The sequence below is a fragment of the Homo sapiens genome, chromosome 12, assembly GCF_000001405.40.
Source record: "Homo sapiens chromosome 12, GRCh38.p14 Primary Assembly".
Taxonomy (NCBI): Eukaryota; Metazoa; Chordata; class Mammalia; order Primates; family Hominidae; genus Homo; species Homo sapiens.
Window position 1 is genome coordinate 49,061,840 of NC_000012.12, and position 16,475 is coordinate 49,078,314.

General features: G+C 46.8%; 1 protein-coding gene across 6 annotated transcripts, besides 3 other annotated features; it reads right to left on the minus strand.

Moving 5' to 3' along the window:
* Positions 1–2,836: 2,836 nt before the first annotated feature.
* Positions 2,837–8,140, minus strand: RHEBL1 (RHEB like 1). 6 transcript variants are annotated; one of them, NM_144593.3, is made up of 8 exons: positions 7,895–8,140; positions 7,196–7,267; positions 5,129–5,196; positions 4,780–4,862; positions 4,637–4,693; positions 4,392–4,439; positions 3,511–3,592; positions 2,837–3,353 (listed from the first exon to the last, which is right to left on the minus strand). In NM_144593.3, the coding sequence occupies exons 1-8, from the start codon at positions 7,944–7,946 to the stop codon at positions 3,264–3,266; spliced, it is 552 nt and encodes a 183-aa protein (NP_653194.1). In that variant the 5' UTR covers positions 7,947–8,140; the 3' UTR covers positions 2,837–3,263. The 6 variants fall into 6 exon arrangements, 5 of the variants coding, with proteins under 5 accessions (NP_653194.1, NP_001290055.1, XP_047284242.1 ...); NM_001303126.2 differs by having other exon boundaries at positions 7,196–7,335; NR_130123.2 differs by lacking the exon at positions 5,129–5,196.
* Positions 7,854–8,163: an enhancer, noted in NCBI's record as "active region_6304". NCBI's record gives its function as "activates an Ori minimal core promoter by ATAC-STARR-seq in GM12878 lymphoblastoid cells {active_cell/tissue: GM12878}" and the evidence as "EXISTENCE:reporter gene assay evidence [ECO:0000049][PMID:35858748]".
* Positions 8,184–8,303: a silencer, noted in NCBI's record as "silent region_4424". NCBI's record gives its function as "represses an Ori minimal core promoter by ATAC-STARR-seq in GM12878 lymphoblastoid cells {active_cell/tissue: GM12878}" and the evidence as "EXISTENCE:reporter gene assay evidence [ECO:0000049][PMID:35858748]".
* Positions 8,534–8,583: an enhancer, noted in NCBI's record as "active region_6305". NCBI's record gives its function as "activates an Ori minimal core promoter by ATAC-STARR-seq in GM12878 lymphoblastoid cells {active_cell/tissue: GM12878}" and the evidence as "EXISTENCE:reporter gene assay evidence [ECO:0000049][PMID:35858748]".

The window sequence follows — 16,475 nt, forward strand, 5'->3', positions numbered from 1 at the left end:
TTTACGATGCTGTCCAAGAGAACTTTTTTTATTTTTTGAGACAGAGTCTCGCACTGTCGTCCGGGTTGGAGTTCAGTGGTGCGATCTCGGCTCACTGCAACCTCCGCCTCCCTGGTTCACGCGATTCTCCTGCCTCAGCCTCCCTAGTAGCCGGGATTACAGGCGCACACCACCAGACCCGGCTACTTTTTTGTATTTTTAGTAGAGACAGGGTTTCACTATGTTGGCCAGCCTGGTCTCGAACTCCTGACCTCGTGATCCGCTCGCCCTGGTCTCCCAAAGTACTGGGATTACAGGCATGCGCCACCGCGCCCGGTCCCAACAGAACTTTTCTACAGTGATGGAAATGGACTAAATCTACACTATCTAATATGGTAGCCATCAACCACATGCAGCTCTCGAGCACTTTGAAATGCAGGTGGTACAAGTAAGGAACTTTTTATTTTAATGAAATTAAATAGCCACATGTGAGGTGATGCTTTTATATTAGACAGTGCAGGAGACCTTAATCCCTACTGGTAAGAGTAATAGGAGGGATCAGGACTAGGTTTGTCCTCTTCCAGCCACACATTGGCATCATGTTTTCTGCACTGACCATTCACACATATTTGAGCAAAAAAAACTCCAGCAGTGATCCCACACTTGTTTTAATTACAATAGAATAAGTTAACCAAGAAACAAGTTGGAAAATGGAAGGCCCCTCCCAGGTTTGCACCCAGAGGCAGGGAGAGGTAGACCCTCACCAGAAAGACCTCCAGTAATAACACAGATAGCCACCTACTATTTTGGTTTTTTTTTTTTTTTTTTTGAGATGGAGTTTCGCTCTTGTCGCCCAGGGTGGAGTGAAATGGCGCGATCTCGGCTCACTGCAACCTCCGCCTCCCAGGTTCAAGCGATTATCCTGCCTCAGCCTCCCTAGTAATTGGGATTACAGGCGCCCACCATCACACCCAGCTAATTTATTTTTAGTAGAGATGGGGTTTCACCACGTTGGCCAGGCTGGTCTCAAACTCCTGACCTCAGGTGATCCACCCGCTTTGGTCTCCCAAAGTGCTGGGATTACAGGCGTGAGCCACTGCACCCAGCCACCACCCCACTATTTCTTAAGGACTTATTATGTGTGAAGAACTGTAGTAAGCTTTGCATATATTACCTCGTTTAATTTTCATCTCAACTCTATGAAGCACACTTAGCCACTCTTCATAAATGAGAAATGGTGGCTCTGAGAAGTTAAGTGACCGCCCAAGGCCACACAGCTAAGTGGAGGAGCTATTAACCACTATCACTACTGTCCCCAGGCCTTGAGATTATTGATAAACTAGAAAACTTTAGATGTTTCTAAGTCTACCCCAGACCTCATGAAAATGGCAGCAGGAAGGTAGGCTCATGTAATGAGTATCCCAGGTCAGATGTGCAAAAAGACTTAATTTTAACATAAGGAGAGACAGTGGTGACCTACCAGAAGAACCTCCTAAGCCAGTGAGATTGTTGTTTGGAGTATGTTTCTTCTAGCAGCCCTTATTTCTTTTTAGATTCTGGATCAGAAAAGCAAAAGCAGCTGTCAGGACTTTTGAAAATCAGCATGACAAGCCATATCCCCAACTGTAAGCCTGGAGCCAGGCACTGACAAAGTCACAGCTAAAAATCACATCTAGGTTTTGTCAATCCTTCCCAAGTAAGTACATTGATAGGGTACCTCGGGCTCCCCCAGTTGTCAGAAGAGGTCTGTACCTTCTCTGTGAAGATCTACCATTCAAATAACCCTTACACATCCTTGGAGGAGGTATTAGACTAGTTAGGCAATCAGGCTGGTGGGAGGGTGGGGATCAAGAAAAGCAGAGGCAAACAGGACCAAACTTTCCTAGCTGAAATATCAATTCATTGAGGCGGTAGGCCCATAAAAGCAGAACCAATAGCCTTTGACACCTAAAAAAAAGTAGCACACCACCAAAGGTGTAAAAAGTACAAAAAGATTAAAGGTATGAAAACAGCAAAGAACGGCCATTTTAATGGAAGACACTGGGGACATGGAGGGCCAGGGGACTGATATGCACCGGAGGCATTATTTCTTACTTTACTCAACACTCTTGGGAAGTCAAAGTCTTCACAACACTTTAGTCTCTGCCTCTACACTCCTTCTCAATTCTTACATCATTAGGAATGAGGGGCTTCCTTTCTTCTCCTGAAACCCCATCATCTTTGAATCCAAGCAAATGCCGAGGCCCCAGGAAGACAGCTAGGTCAGCATGTTGCAGTTGGCCACTAGAGGGTGGTGTTTCTGTAATTAAGGGGATCTTGAAAGGCTACAAAACTTGGATGGGAGTGGCAGCCAACTGGACTTAGTATATGAGGAACCCAGCAGAATAGAAAGGTGGGAAAGGCAAGTAGTAAATCTTAGGATAATGGTCCTTAATAAGTGAGGAATAAGGAATAGGAACAAGGTAGGAGGAAAGATATCCCACCAAAGACCACAGCCATCACTCCTTGGAAAAAGAGATCTTGGCTCTGAGCTCTCACTAGATACATAGAAGTCAACAATAAAATAAGGCCGGGGGCAGTGGCTCACGCCTGTAATCCCAGCACTTTGGGAGGCTGAGGTGGGTGGATCACTTAAGGTCAGGAGTTCGAGACCATCCTGGCCTAGGTGAAACCTCATCTCTACTAAAAATAAAAAAGTTAGCTAGGCATGGTGGCGGGTGCCTGCAGAAGACTGAGGCAGGAGAACTGCTTGAACCTGGGAGGCGGAGGTTGCAGCGAGCCAAGATTGCAGCACTGCACCACTCCAGCCTGGGCAACAGAGTGAAACTCCGTCTCACACACACACACGAAAAAGAAGTCAACAACAAAAGATTTCTCAATTTATTTGCATATATACATTGTCACCCCAGGGAGCCAGCTCTATTTCAGAAGTCCCCGGCTCCCCTTACCCAGCCAACACCCAAAACCCACCCAAGAGGATGGGTCCTGGATAAATAATGCCCAGGACTCATATCCTGACCCCATAGGTTATAACAGAATTCATCAAACAAAAACAGAGGGCTAGAGGCCAGTGTCCATGAGAGGTCCTTGCCCCTTTGTAAACATTGACATCCAGGCCACTGGAGCCTGGGGAAAGTGTGCAAACATGAGGATGCCACACTGTGTGTCCAGGGGCCAGGAACACAGCTGGCAACCATACCCGTGAAGTCCTGAGGATCTGCCCCCCACTGGAACATGGCAAGTGCCGGGGGCAGAAGCAAGGCAGTTACCCCACACCCAAGGGCTCACATGAGATGGCAGCGACGCTCTTGCCCATAGGAATTCTCCACACGGGCAATCTCCTGGATGACTTTGGTGAAGATGCCTTGAGTCAGCTATAAGAGGAGAGGATTCAGGGCAAAAGTCAGTTCAGTGCCAATACCACCCAGCTCTGGGGTGAAAGCCCCATTCCCGCAACATTCCCACCACCAAGCAGTACAATAAGGAAAACACAGCTACCATCACCACCCTTCTAGTCTTCAGGCCCAGCACCTGATTCTCTCGAGCAGATGACTCCATAAATGTCGCACCCCAGGACTCTGCCAGCTTCTTTCCTTCAACTGCCTGTACCTCTCTGGAAGCAAATTTGGGACATAAAGATGGAGGATAGAAATGTCAGTAAGTGCTCTGAAAAATCTTCAGAATCAAGACTTCCTGGCCAGGCACAGTGGCTCATGCCTGTAATGCAGCACTTTGGGAGGCCGAGGTGGTGGATCACTTGAGCTCAGGAGTTCAAGACCAGCCTGGACAACACAGGGAAACACCATCTCTATTAAAAAAAAAATGGGCCACACGCGGTTGCTTGTGCCTGTAATCCCGATACTTTGGGAGGCCTAGGCGGGTGGATCACAAGGTCAGGAGATCGAGACCATCCTGGCTAACATGGTGAAACCCCGTCTCTACTAAAAATACAAAAAATTAGCTGGGCGTGGTGGCACGCGCCTGTAGTCCCAGCTACTTGGGAAGCTGAGGCAGGAGACTCGCTTGAACCCGGGAGGCAGAGGTTGCAGTGAGCCGAGATCACACCACTGCACTCCAGCCTGGGCAACAGAGCAAGACTCCGTCTAAAAAAAAAAAAAATAGAGAAGAAAAAGACTTTCTCTGACCCATGCCATTTCCCCAAGTTTTGGGAGGAGGGCTGTGGAAGGAGAAAATATAGGTAAACAAAGGAACAATGGGTGAATCTAGGACTGAGGCTTGAAATATGAAATTGTGGCTTTTAAGATAGAAGTATTATCTTCCTTAAGCTTCAGGTTAGAGACAAAGAGAGGTGAAATGACTTGTTTGAGTCAGTGGAAGAGCCAGGATGAGAGCCTGACTGATTCCCAGTCCATTTCACTTCCTTTTGCTCTGAGTAGCAGAGATTTACATACCTCTCTGGAGAGAGATCTGCCTTGTTCCCCACTAGAACCACTGGCACCCTGTGAGGAAACAGCAGTTACTTCAGAATCCCCTCATTCCCCGCATTCCCCAACTCCTTACATCAAGGCTGGACGACTCCTTATCAGACCAGGCAGGATCTATATCCGAGCCTCCTCTCTAACTTGACAATTCTCCCCTCTGCTCTCTCCCACCCCCTCATGCCCACACTATGTCCCTATCCCCCAGGGCCACTTACCGGGTTTTCCCATGGCCTTCATGTAGCTTTTGGTACAGACTCTCAATGACTTGGAAGCTTTAAACACAAGAATTGGAGCTATAACTTTATGAGACAGTCCTCAGGTTCTCCCAAGTCCCGCACTCACAACCTTGGTCACTTACCTATGCAGAGAGGTGACAGAATACACAAGCACATAACCATGGACCCCAATGATGAATGAATAGGGCAGAATGCTGTACTCATCCTGGCAAGAAATGGGAAACATCAGTACCTAGATCCAAACCACTAAGATGGCAAAGGTTGGTGGGACAACATCCAGGTGACCCTCCCTGGGGCACGCCCTACTATAGTCACTTCAACATGTATTTATGGAACAGCTCCAATGAGCCCTGCATACTGTTAGCAGGTAAAATGCTTTTAATACTACTTTACGGATGAGCCACAAAGACTACCAGACTTCATCTCCGAGGGCTGAACTGCCACATTTGGATACCATACCCCAACTGGTACCTGCCCTGCTGTGTCCACCAGATGTAGGTGAAACTCATCTTTGCCAAGAGTCACTATCTTGCTGTAAGCTGAAAAGAAAAGAAAACTTGACTGTGAAGTGCCTTATAGGACCAGCGATGTATGTCCCCTGACTTTTTTTTTTTTTTTTTTTTGAGACAAGAGTCTCACTCTATTGTCCAGGCTGGGCTGCAGTGGCATGATCTCAGCTCACTGCAACCTCTGCCACCCGGGTTCAAGCTATTCTCCTGCCTCAGCCTCCCGAGTAGCTGGGATTACAGGGACCTGCCACCATGCCCGGCTAATTACATTTTTTTTTTTTGAGATGAGGTCTTGCTATGTTGCCCAGGCTGTAGAGCAGTGGCTATTCACAGGCGCACTCTTAGCACCCTATAGCCTGGAACTCCTGGGCTCAAGCAATCCTGTCACCTCAGCCTCCCAAGTAGCTGGAACTACAGGTGTGCACCTCTGCACCTGGCTGTCTCCTTACCTTTTTTTTTTTTTTTGGCAGCATTTTTTAAAGTAGATTATTGGTTGGGCGCAGTGGCTCACACCTGTAATCCCAGCACTTTGGGAGGCCAGGGCAGGCGGATCACTTAAGACCAAGAGTTTGAGACCAGCCTGGCCAACATGGTGAAACCCTGTCTCTACTAAAAATACAAAAAATTAGTTGGGCATGGTGGTGCATGCCTGTAGTCCCAGCTACTCAGGAGGGTGAAGCGTGAGAATTGCTTGAACCCAGGAGGTGGAGGTTGCAGTGAGCTGAGATTGCGGCACTGCACTCCAGCCTGGGTGACAGAGCGAGACTGTCTTGAAAAGAAAAGAAAAATAAAGTAATTACTTTTGTTTTATTGATGAATAATAGATGTACCAAGTTTCAGGGTACATGTGACAATTTAATACATTCATATAATTTGTAAAGATCAAATAAGTGTATCTGGAATATTCATCACCTTAAATATTTGGCTTTTCTTTATGCTAGAACCATTTGAATTCTTCTCTTCTAGCTATTTTGAAATGTAAAATAGCTTATTGTAAGCTATAGTCACCCTACTGATCTACTAAGTCTTATTTCTTCTATCAAACTATATATTTGTACCCATTGATCAATTTATCTTCATCCCTCCCACTCCCTTCCCCCTTACATTCTTTTTATTCTTTTTTTTTTTTCTTTTTTTTCTTGAGACATTGCTTCACTCTTGTTGCCCAGGCTAGAGCGCAGTGGCACGATCTCGGCTCACTGCAACCTCCGCCTCCCAGGTTCAAGCAATTCTCCTGCCTCAGCCTCCCGAGTAGATGGGATTACAGATGTCCATCACCATGTCCGGCTAATTTTTTGTATTTTTAGTAGAGACGGGGTTTCACCATGTTGGCCAGGCTGGTCTCGAACTCTTGACCTCAGGTGATCCACCTGCCTTGGCCTCCCAAAGAACTGGGATTACAGGCATAAGCCACGGTGCCCAGCTTTTTTTTTTTTTTTTTTTTTTTTTTGAGACAGTCTCACCCTGACACCCAGGCTGGTGTGCAGTGGCACGACCTTGGCTCACTGCCACTTTTGCCTCCTGGGTTCAAGCGATTCTCCTACCTCAGTCTCCTTTGTAGCTGGGATTACAGGCGTGCGCCACCATGCCCAGCTAATTTTGGTATTTTTAGTAGAGATGAGGTTTCACCATGTTGGCCAGGTTGGTCTCGAAATCCAGACCTCAATCCATCCGCCCGCCTCAGCTTCCCAAAGTGCTGGGATTACAGGCATGAGCCACTGCGCCCAGCCTCCCCTTACATTCTTAACCTTGGGGGTGACACAGATAGATCAGCTCCAGGGAGTTATCCAGGTAACTGGAAAGACACGCTAAGGTTCTTAATGTCTACATCTAAACTATCCCAGACTCAATATCTTGCAAAATCCATACTCTAGCCATCCATCGAACAGGATTGCTAAAGAAGAAATCAGATGTAATGTCTAAATAAATCAGCCCCTTGGCACCAGAGAAATAAATTATGGAGTTGGGTGGGGTATCCAAGCCCTCCGGGTCGCATACCACCAGCACACTAGGGGAGAAGTCTACTCACTATTCTCCACTGTAGGATCGTAGCCTTCCGAGAACTCGCCTTCCACAAATTGATGTGCCAAAGATGTCTTCCCTGTGGGGAGCAGTGTGACAGTTGTATCCAAATCATCCATCCACATTCACATCCTCTGTCCTTTCGGACTGTGGCCCAGGACCAAAGGAGACCCCAAATTAACACCACAGTCTGTGAGTGCCTCAAGCAATGCTATCCTTTGTGTCTACCCTCACCCTCTTTTCACCCAGGGTCTCCGCACTTTGGCTACCGGATGCATTCAGAAGCGCAGCAGGAAGCCTTTCCCGCCGCCTTCCCCACCCCATCCCACTCGTAGGAAGATCCAAGATTCCCTAGGATCAAGTCCGCCCCGCCCCAGGACACCTGCGACTATCTGTCCCCACGGAGACCGCGTCCCGGTTTTCAAATTGTGACCCCACCCCTATCCCCAAAGTAACGCTGGGACCACTCTGAGATTCCCGCAGCCAGGTCCGCATTAACCCTTAAGTGCTCCCGCTTCCTGCAGCCTCCACACACCACCAACTCTTCCAATCCTCCACTCTTCCATTCCTCCACTCTTCCAATCCTCGCTCTACAACCCCATCCTTACGATGTCATCATTCCTCCCTGGGTCGCGTTCCCACGGCAGCGCGCCTCTTCTGGCTACAAAGCTGCTGCGCGTCCGAGCTCTGCAGGGCGGAGACTCACCTACACAGCGGTATCCGAGGATGACCACCTTCCTGTAGCGGACTAGCGGCATGGCAGGAGCCCGCCCCAGGGGCTTGCGGAACTGCGGGCTCAGAGAGCCCGAAAACGAGGTCAGGGTGTGAGCAGGCGCGGCAGCTGGTGCAGGAAAGTCGCTCACCCCGAAGCTGCCGTGGGCAAGTTAGAAGGAAACCAAAACAAGCGCCGCGCCCGGAGCTGCCCACGTGATCACAACACAGCACGTCTAACGCCAGGGAGCCGGGCGCCCGGGGAACTACTGAGCCGCGCCGCGCCGGGCTCCGCCCCCCAGGCCGCTCGCCATTGGTCCATTAGAATGGGTAAGGGCGGTGCCGCCAGCAGGAGGGAAGGGTGGGCCTCACGTGGAGCGGGAGAACTGGGAGCTGCGCGTGCGCAGACTGGAGCCGGTTCATTCATAAAGAAACAGAAAGGAACCCGGGGTCCTAAAGGCGTTTGCGCATTTACAGCCTAGCTGAAGTGGCTTCGAAGAATTATGGATGGAAAATACCCGTTTTGTGGTTTCCGGTCATAAGATTCTAGCCCTCCCTTTTGCATGGTCTCTGGGGTCCTTAGATAGGGAGAAAACCGCCAAAGTTCTAGTATATTCCTTCTGCTTCCCCCAGCCTTCAGCCCCAGACCTATCAAGGTTTCCAGTCTTCCAGCATCTAATTTCAAACTGCAATTCTTATTCTTGCAGAAATTGCTAGAATTTATGATCAAGTAGTCTGAGGTTTCTTCTTCATCATCATGATCCTCAAATATTCATTTTTCAACAAATACTGAGTATATACTACATGTTTCAGGCATTGCTCCAGCTTTGGGGTCAGAACATGGACATCACAGACAATGTGTCTGCTCTTATGAAGGGAGAAACAAACATACAACAAGGAAATATCAGAGAGTGTTAAGTGCTGTAGAAGATGGTGTGATGAAAGATGACCACTTTATTTTTTTTATTTTTTTATTTTTATTTTTATTTTTTTTGAGACGGAATCTCGCTCTTTCTACCAGGCCGGAGGGCAGTGGCTCTATCTCGGCTCACTGCAAGCTCCGCCTCCCGGGTTCACGCCATTTTCCTGCCTCAGCCTCCAGAGTAGCTGGGACTACAGGCGCCCGCCACCGCGCCCGGCTAATTTTTTGTATTTTTAGTAGAGACGGGGTTTCACCGTGTTAGCCAGCATGGCCTCCATCTCCTGACCTCGTGATCCGCCCGCCTCGGCCTCCCAAAGTGATGGGATTACAGGCGTGAGCCACCGCGCCCGGCCGACCACTTTATTTTTTAAAGACAATACAGCATTTTTAATTTTTTTTCTTTATTTATTTTGAGACAGGGTTATGAGACTGGCTAATTTTTGTATTTTGGGGAGAGATGGGGTTTTGCTATGTTGCCCAGGCTGGTCTCGAACGCCTAGCCTCAAGTGATCCACCTGACCCGGCCTCCCAAAGTGCTGGGATTACAGACGTGAGCCACCGAGCCTGGCTGAGATGACCACTTTAGTGATACTTTCTCTCATAGGAAACCCCATTTAAACTAAGATCTGAAGGAACCAACTAGGAGATTTCACAAGAAGAATCCACCAATGCTAAGGCGTTAAGATGGAAATAAATTGGGTAAATTCCAGGAAGAGGGGAAGAAAAAAAGAAAGCCAGTTAGCCTAAAGCAGATGAAGTCTAAGAGAATGGCAGAGGCCAGGCCACATAAAGGAGTCTGGGCTAATTCTAAGTACTTGAAGGTATTTAAGCTGGGGCATGACATGATCTAAATTGTCTTTCTAAAAAATCTCCCTGGCTGTAGTGAATAGATTGGGGTTTGAGGGTAACAGGAGCAAAAGGAAGCAGGGAGATTGGCGAGGAAACTGTTACCTGTAGTCCAGGTGAGAGATGAGAGCGCTTGACTAGAGTGATCATGTTGAATGAAGTTGAGAATTCAGGATATTCTGAAGCTAAGGTTAAAATGACTTGTGGAAGGATTGGTAGAGGAGGGAAGAAAGGAAGGAAATCACCTAGATTTATAGAGAGTTCGACTATACTATGTGCCAGGTGCATTTTATTGTTATCTCATTTAATATTCACAAAAGCCCTAGGCCGGGCATGGTGGCTCATGCCTGTAATCCCAGCACTTTGGGAGGCTGAGGTGGACGGATCGCTTGAGGTCGGGAGTTCGAGACCAGCCTGTCCAACATAGTGAAACCCCGTCTCTACTAAAAATACAAAAATTAGCCGTGCGTGATGGTGCATGCCTGTAATTCCAGCTACTCAGGAGGCTGAGGCAGGAGAATCGTTTGAACACGGGAGGCAGAGGTTGCAGTGAGCCGGGATTGCACCATTGTACTCTGCACTCCAGCCTGGGAGACAGAGTGAGACTCCATCTTAAAAAAATATATATATATATATATATATATATTCATCTTCTACTTTGTGCCAGGCACTCTTACTATGTGTTGCACACTAGGATACAGAAATAAATAACAGATGCCTTTTATACTGCTTGTCCCGTCCATATGAACTCTCCATTCTTTTCCACCCAGATTTATGTCCAGGAGGCAGACCTTGTCTCCTGGCTTTCAGTGAAGCTCAGCCAAAGGAAAGCACACACAGAAGATTCAATGGACAGAGGAGAGTGGCTCTGTCCCCCATTGAAGGTCACAGTACCTCTCAAGGCAGCTGCCTCCTCCAACACACACACACACAGCTCTCTCCTGGTTTTCAGTGACTCCCCTCAGCCTTTATGCCTATAGCAGTATCAGCCTCTTTTCTGTTATTCACCTTGGGGCATTGCTCTATCTGTTGTGGTCTCCCTATACCCTGCCCACATCTTTGTAAATAGTCTCTTTATTAAACCATCTGAATTCTCCTGTTTTGAATCAGAGAGAAAGCAAAAGAGCCAAGGCAAAGGGCTTTCTCCTCTTGTGACTTTTTCTTTTTACCTGGTAAGGGAAGCTCTCACAGCAGATATTCACCTACATCTCATTGAACAAGATTGTTTTATATAGTCATTTCTAGTTGTAAGGGAACCTGGAAATTTTAGCATTTTCTTTTCCAATGTCTATAGTAAAGGAAGGCAAAAGACAATGTGATTATAAATAAATGTTTTGGCCTGACGTGGTGGCTCAGGCCTGTAATCCCAGGACTTTGGGAGGCCATACAGGTGAATTGCTTGAGCTCAGGAGTTCGAGACCAGCCTAGGTAGGCAACATGGCAAAAGCCTGTTGCTATAAAAAATACAGAAAAAAAAAAGAAGAAAAATTAGCCGGGCATGGTGGCACGTGCCTGTAGTCTCAAGCTACTTGGAAGGCTGAAGTGAAAGGATCACCTGAGCCCAAGGAGGTTGAGGCTGCAGTGAGCCATGTTTGTGCCACTGCACTCCATCCTGGACAACAAAGACCCTGTATCAAAAAAAAAAAAAAAAAAAAAAAAAAAAAAAGAAGCTAGGCACGGTGGCTCACGCCTGTAATCCTAGCACTTTGGGAGGCCAAGGCGGGTGGATTGCCTGAGCTGAGCTCAGGGTTTCGACACCAGCCTGAGCAACACAGCGAAACCCGGTATCTACTAAAATATAAAAAATTAGCTGGGGCCGGGCACAGTAGCTCACGCCTGTAATCCCAGCACTTTGGGAGGCTGAGGCAGACGGATCACCTGAGATCAGGAGTTTGAGACCAGCCTGGCTAACATGGTGAAACCCCGTCTCTACTAAAAATAGAAAAATTAGCCAGGCATGGTGGTGCATGCCTGTAGTCCCAGCTACTCAGGAGACGGAGGCAGGAGAATCGCCTGAACCTGGGAGGTGGAGGTTGCACTGAGCCGAGATCACGCCACTGCACTCCAACCTGGGCAACAGAGCGAGACTCCATCTCCAAAAAAACAAAAAAATAAATGTTTCATGAGCCAATCTATAAAACCTGCACATTTTAGGACCAAGATATTGGTTGATTAAATAGTTGTTCATTAAATATCAATCACTTTAAAAAGTAATGCATAGGCCGGGCACAGTGGCTCACACATGTAATCTCAGCACTTTGGGAGGCTGAGGCAGGTGAATCATCAGGTCAGGAGTTTGAGACCAGCCTGACCAACATGGTGAAACTCTGTCTGTACTAAAAATACAAAATTTAGCCGGGCATGGTGGGAGGCACCTGTAATCCCAGCTACTCGGGAGGCTGAGGCAGGAGAATCACTTGAACCTGGGAGATGGAGGTTGTAGTGAGCCAAGATTGCGCCACTGCATTCCAGGCTGGCTGACAGAGCGAGACTCTGTCTCAAAAAAAAAAAAAGTAATGTACAAATGGTTTATTTAGTAAAGATCAAAAAAATAGGATCAAATAAAGGAAAAATAGAACTTGGAGATAAGTCAAAAAAATATTTTAAAATATTATATATAAATATTATTTAATAGATAATAAACATATTTATTATATATTATTTATATAATAATAATATAAATAAAGGAAGCAATTCATCCTAATGTTAGATAAATGGGCTTGGAATAAGATTTTTTTTGTTTTTTATTATTTTTACTTTTTTTTATTTATTTATTTTTGAAACAGGGTCTCACTCCAATTGCCCAGGCTGGAGTGCAGTGGCATAATTTTGGCTCACTGCAGCCTCTACTCCTCAGCTCAGGTGATTCTCCTACCTCAGCTTCCTGAGTAGCTGAGACTACAGGCATGCACCACCATGCCCAGCTAATTTTTGTATTTTCAGTAGAGATGGGGTTTCACCATGTTGTTTAGGCTGGTCTCAAACTCCTGGACTCAAGCAATCCACCCACCTCAGCCTCCCAAAGTGCTGGGTTTACAGATGTGAGCCACCGCTCCCAGCCTGTTTTTGTGTTTTAGAGACAGGGTACCACTCCGCCACCCAAGCTGGAGTGCAGTGGTGCCATCATAGCTCACTGTGGCCCATAACTCCTGGGCTCAAGTGATCCTCTTGCCTCAGCCTCCTGAGTAGCCTAAGACTATACAGGCATGCACTGCCATGCCCAGCTAATTTTTTTTTTTTTTTTTTTTGTAGAGATGGGGTCGCTCCCAGGCTAGTCTTGAACTCCTGGCCTCAAGCAATCCCTCCTCAGCCTCCCAAAACACTGAGATTACAGACATGAGCCACCAAGCCTGGCCTGAAATAACATTTCTAGGACAGCATCATACATTGCTATGTCTCAAACAACTGAGACAAAATAAAGATAAGATGTTCCCAGAAAACTGTTTTAAGTATCTCTGGGAAAAGTGAAAAATGTCTCTACTCTGTTTGCACCCAAATTATATGGCATGTCCTTTCTAATGGACTCCATCGCACAGGTATTCAAGGCTTCTTTGTTTTCCACAGTTATGGGTTTACCTCCCTGCTGATTATCAATTACCTATTGTTGCATAACAAACCACATCAAAATTATTTTTCTCAGGATTCTGTGGGTTGAATTCATGGTTCTTATGTTGCCTCCTCTGGACTCACTCTCGTGGCTAGTCAGTGGAAGCTCCACTGGGAATGGAAGGTCTAAAATGACCTCACGCACGTCTGGAGCCTTGGTGCTGGCTCTTGGCTAGGCCTCTGTCTCTCCACATGTCTCTCATCATTTATTGGGGCAGCCCGAGCTTCTTCTTGGGTGGCAGAAGCATCCAAGAGGGCAAAGTTAGGACAGTGCATGGCCTCTTGAGGCCTTAGGCTTTGAAACTCATTCAACACAAGTTCTGCCACATTTTAGTAGCCTAAGCAAGTCACAAAGCCATCCCAGATTCAAGGCATGGGGAAATAGACTCCATTTCTCCATGAGAGAAACTGGAAAATATTGTAGCTCTATTTTTCAATCTACTACAGAGCAGATTGATTATGGCAAGAAGTCCAAGCTGGAGTTCTCCATTTACCAAGGCCCCCAGGTATCCACAGCTGTAGTTGAGCCCTACAACTCTATGCTCACCACAAACATCACCCTGGAGCACTCAGATTGCACCTTCATGGTAGACAATGAGGCCATCTATGACATCTGTCATAGAAACCTCGATATTGGGTGCCTGACCTACAGTAACCTGAACTATCTGATATTGAATCTGTTGTAGTCACTTGAATATTAAGAACACATTTGGCTTCAATAACAGAAAAACCAAGTTGCAATAGCTTAAACAAATAAGGATTTATGTTTCTCAAGTAACAAAGTTGGAGGTAAGCAGCATCAGTCCAGTTGCTCCATGATACCAGGTCTGGTACCTGCAGTTCTCTTAACTCTTCCCTTATGCTTGTCGCCTCATAGCCACAAGATGAGTTCACCTTCAGGCATCATATCTAAGTTCCAAAAGAGGATCTAGTAATCATAAAGGCACTTATATTGAAAATGAGTATTTTAGCCAGGCGCGGTGGCTCATGCCTGTAATCCCAGCACTTTGGGAGGCCAAGGCGGGCGGATCGTCTGAGGTCAGGAGTTCAAGACCAACCTGACCAACATGGTGAAACCTGTCTCTACTAAAAATACAAAATTAGCCAGGCATGGTGGCACACACCTGTAATCCCAGCTACTCGGGAGGCTGAGGCAGGAGATTCGCTTGAACCTAGGAGGCGGAGGTTGCAGTGAGCTGAGATCACGCCATTGGACTCCAGCCTGGGCAACATGAATGAAACTCCATCTCAAAAAAAAAAAAAGAAAAGAAAAGAAAATGAATATTTTCATATCAATATGCAAGTTTGGGGCCAGGAGCAGTGGCTCACACCTATAATCCCAGCACTTTGAGAAGCCAAAGCGAGCAGATCACTTGAGATGAGGAGTTCGAGACCAGCCTAGGCAAAACCCCATCTCTACAGAAAATACAAAAATTAGCCAGGTGCAGTGGGTCACGCCTGTAATTCCAGCACTTTGGGAGGCCGAGGCGGGTGGATCACGAGGGCAGGAGATCGAGACCATCCTGGCTAACACAGTGAAATCCCATCCCTACTAAAAATACGAAGAAAAAAAAATAGCCGGCGTGGTGGCAGGCACCTGTAGTCCCAGCTACTCGGGAGGCTGAGGCAGGAGAATGGCATGAACCCAGGAGGCAGAGCTTGCAGTGAGCCGAGATAGCACCACTGCCCTCCAGCCTGGGCGACAGAGGGAGACTCCGTCTCAGAAAAAAGAAAAGAAAAGAAAAGAAAAAAATTAGCCAGGCATAGTGGTGCGTGCCTATAGTCCCAGCTACTTGTGGGGGCTGAGGTGAGAGGATCACTTGAGCCCGGGAGGTCAAGGCTGCAATGAGCCATGTTTGTGCCACTGCACTCCAGCCTAGGCAACAAAGTGACACCCTCTCTCAAAAACAAAAATAAGGCTGGCGCAGTGCCTCACGCCTGTAATCCTAGCACTTTGGGAGGCCGAGGCAGGCAGATCATGTGAGGTCAGTAGTTCGAAACCAGCCTTACCAACATGGTGAAACCCTGTCTCTACTATAAGTACAAAAATTAGCCAGGCATGGTGGTGCACACCTGTAATCCAAGCTACTCAGGAGACTGAGGCAGGAGAATTGCTCAAACCTAGTAGACGGAGGTTGCAGGGAACCGGGATTGCACCACTGCACTCCAATCTGGGCGACAAAGCGAGACTCTAACTCAAAAACTAATAATAAAAGTTTGAATAAAACTATGCTTTAAATGTAAGAATGGAAAATCAGTTAAATAATATCAATTTATTATTTTATAGGCTATGTACTTTTAAATGTGTACAGTATATATAAATAAATAAAATATTATAAATTAGACATTTAATTATGTAATTCCTAAAAGTTTGCTTAAGTTGGCCAAACAATACTTTTTGTTTTGGATCTTCTAATTAGGAAAATGGATGATTATCTAATTTTTGGCATCAACTGTTAAAAATCATGTGTAAATTGCTGGGTTCAGTGGCTCACGCCTGTAATCCCAGAACTTTGGGAGGCGGAGGCCGGTAGATTATGAGGTCAGGAGTTCAAGACCAGCCTGTCTGGCCGGCTGCGGTGGCTCACACCTGTAATCCCAGCACTTTGGGAGGCCGAGATGGGCGGATCACGAGGTCAGGAGATCAAGACCATCCTGGCTAACACAGTGAAACCTCGTCTCTACTAAAAATACAAAAAAAATTAGCCGGGCATGGTGGCGGGCGCCTGTAGTCCCAGCTACTCGGGAGGCTGAGGCAGGAGAAGGGTGTGAACCCAGGAGGCGGAGCTTGCAGTGAGCTGAGATTGTGCCACTGCACTCCAGCCTGGGTGACAGAACGAGACTCTAGCTCAAAAAAAAAAAAAAAAAAAAAAAGACCAGCCTGTCCAAGATGGTGAAACCCCATCTCTACTAAAAATACAAAAATTAGCTGGGCGTGGTGGTGGGCACCTGTAATCCCAGCTACCCGGGAGGCTGAGGCAGAGAATTGCTTGAACCTGGGAGGTGGAGGTTGCAGCAAGCCAAGATCGCGCCACTGCATTCCAGCCTGGGCGACAGAGTGAGACTCCATCTCAAAAAAAAAAAAAAAAAAATGTAAACACAGATTTAAGATAAAATGCAAACTTGAATTTCAGTCATAGCACCAATTTTTTTTTAATTTAAAATGCAAACTGCCATGCTTCTTAGATTTAAATTAGCTAAT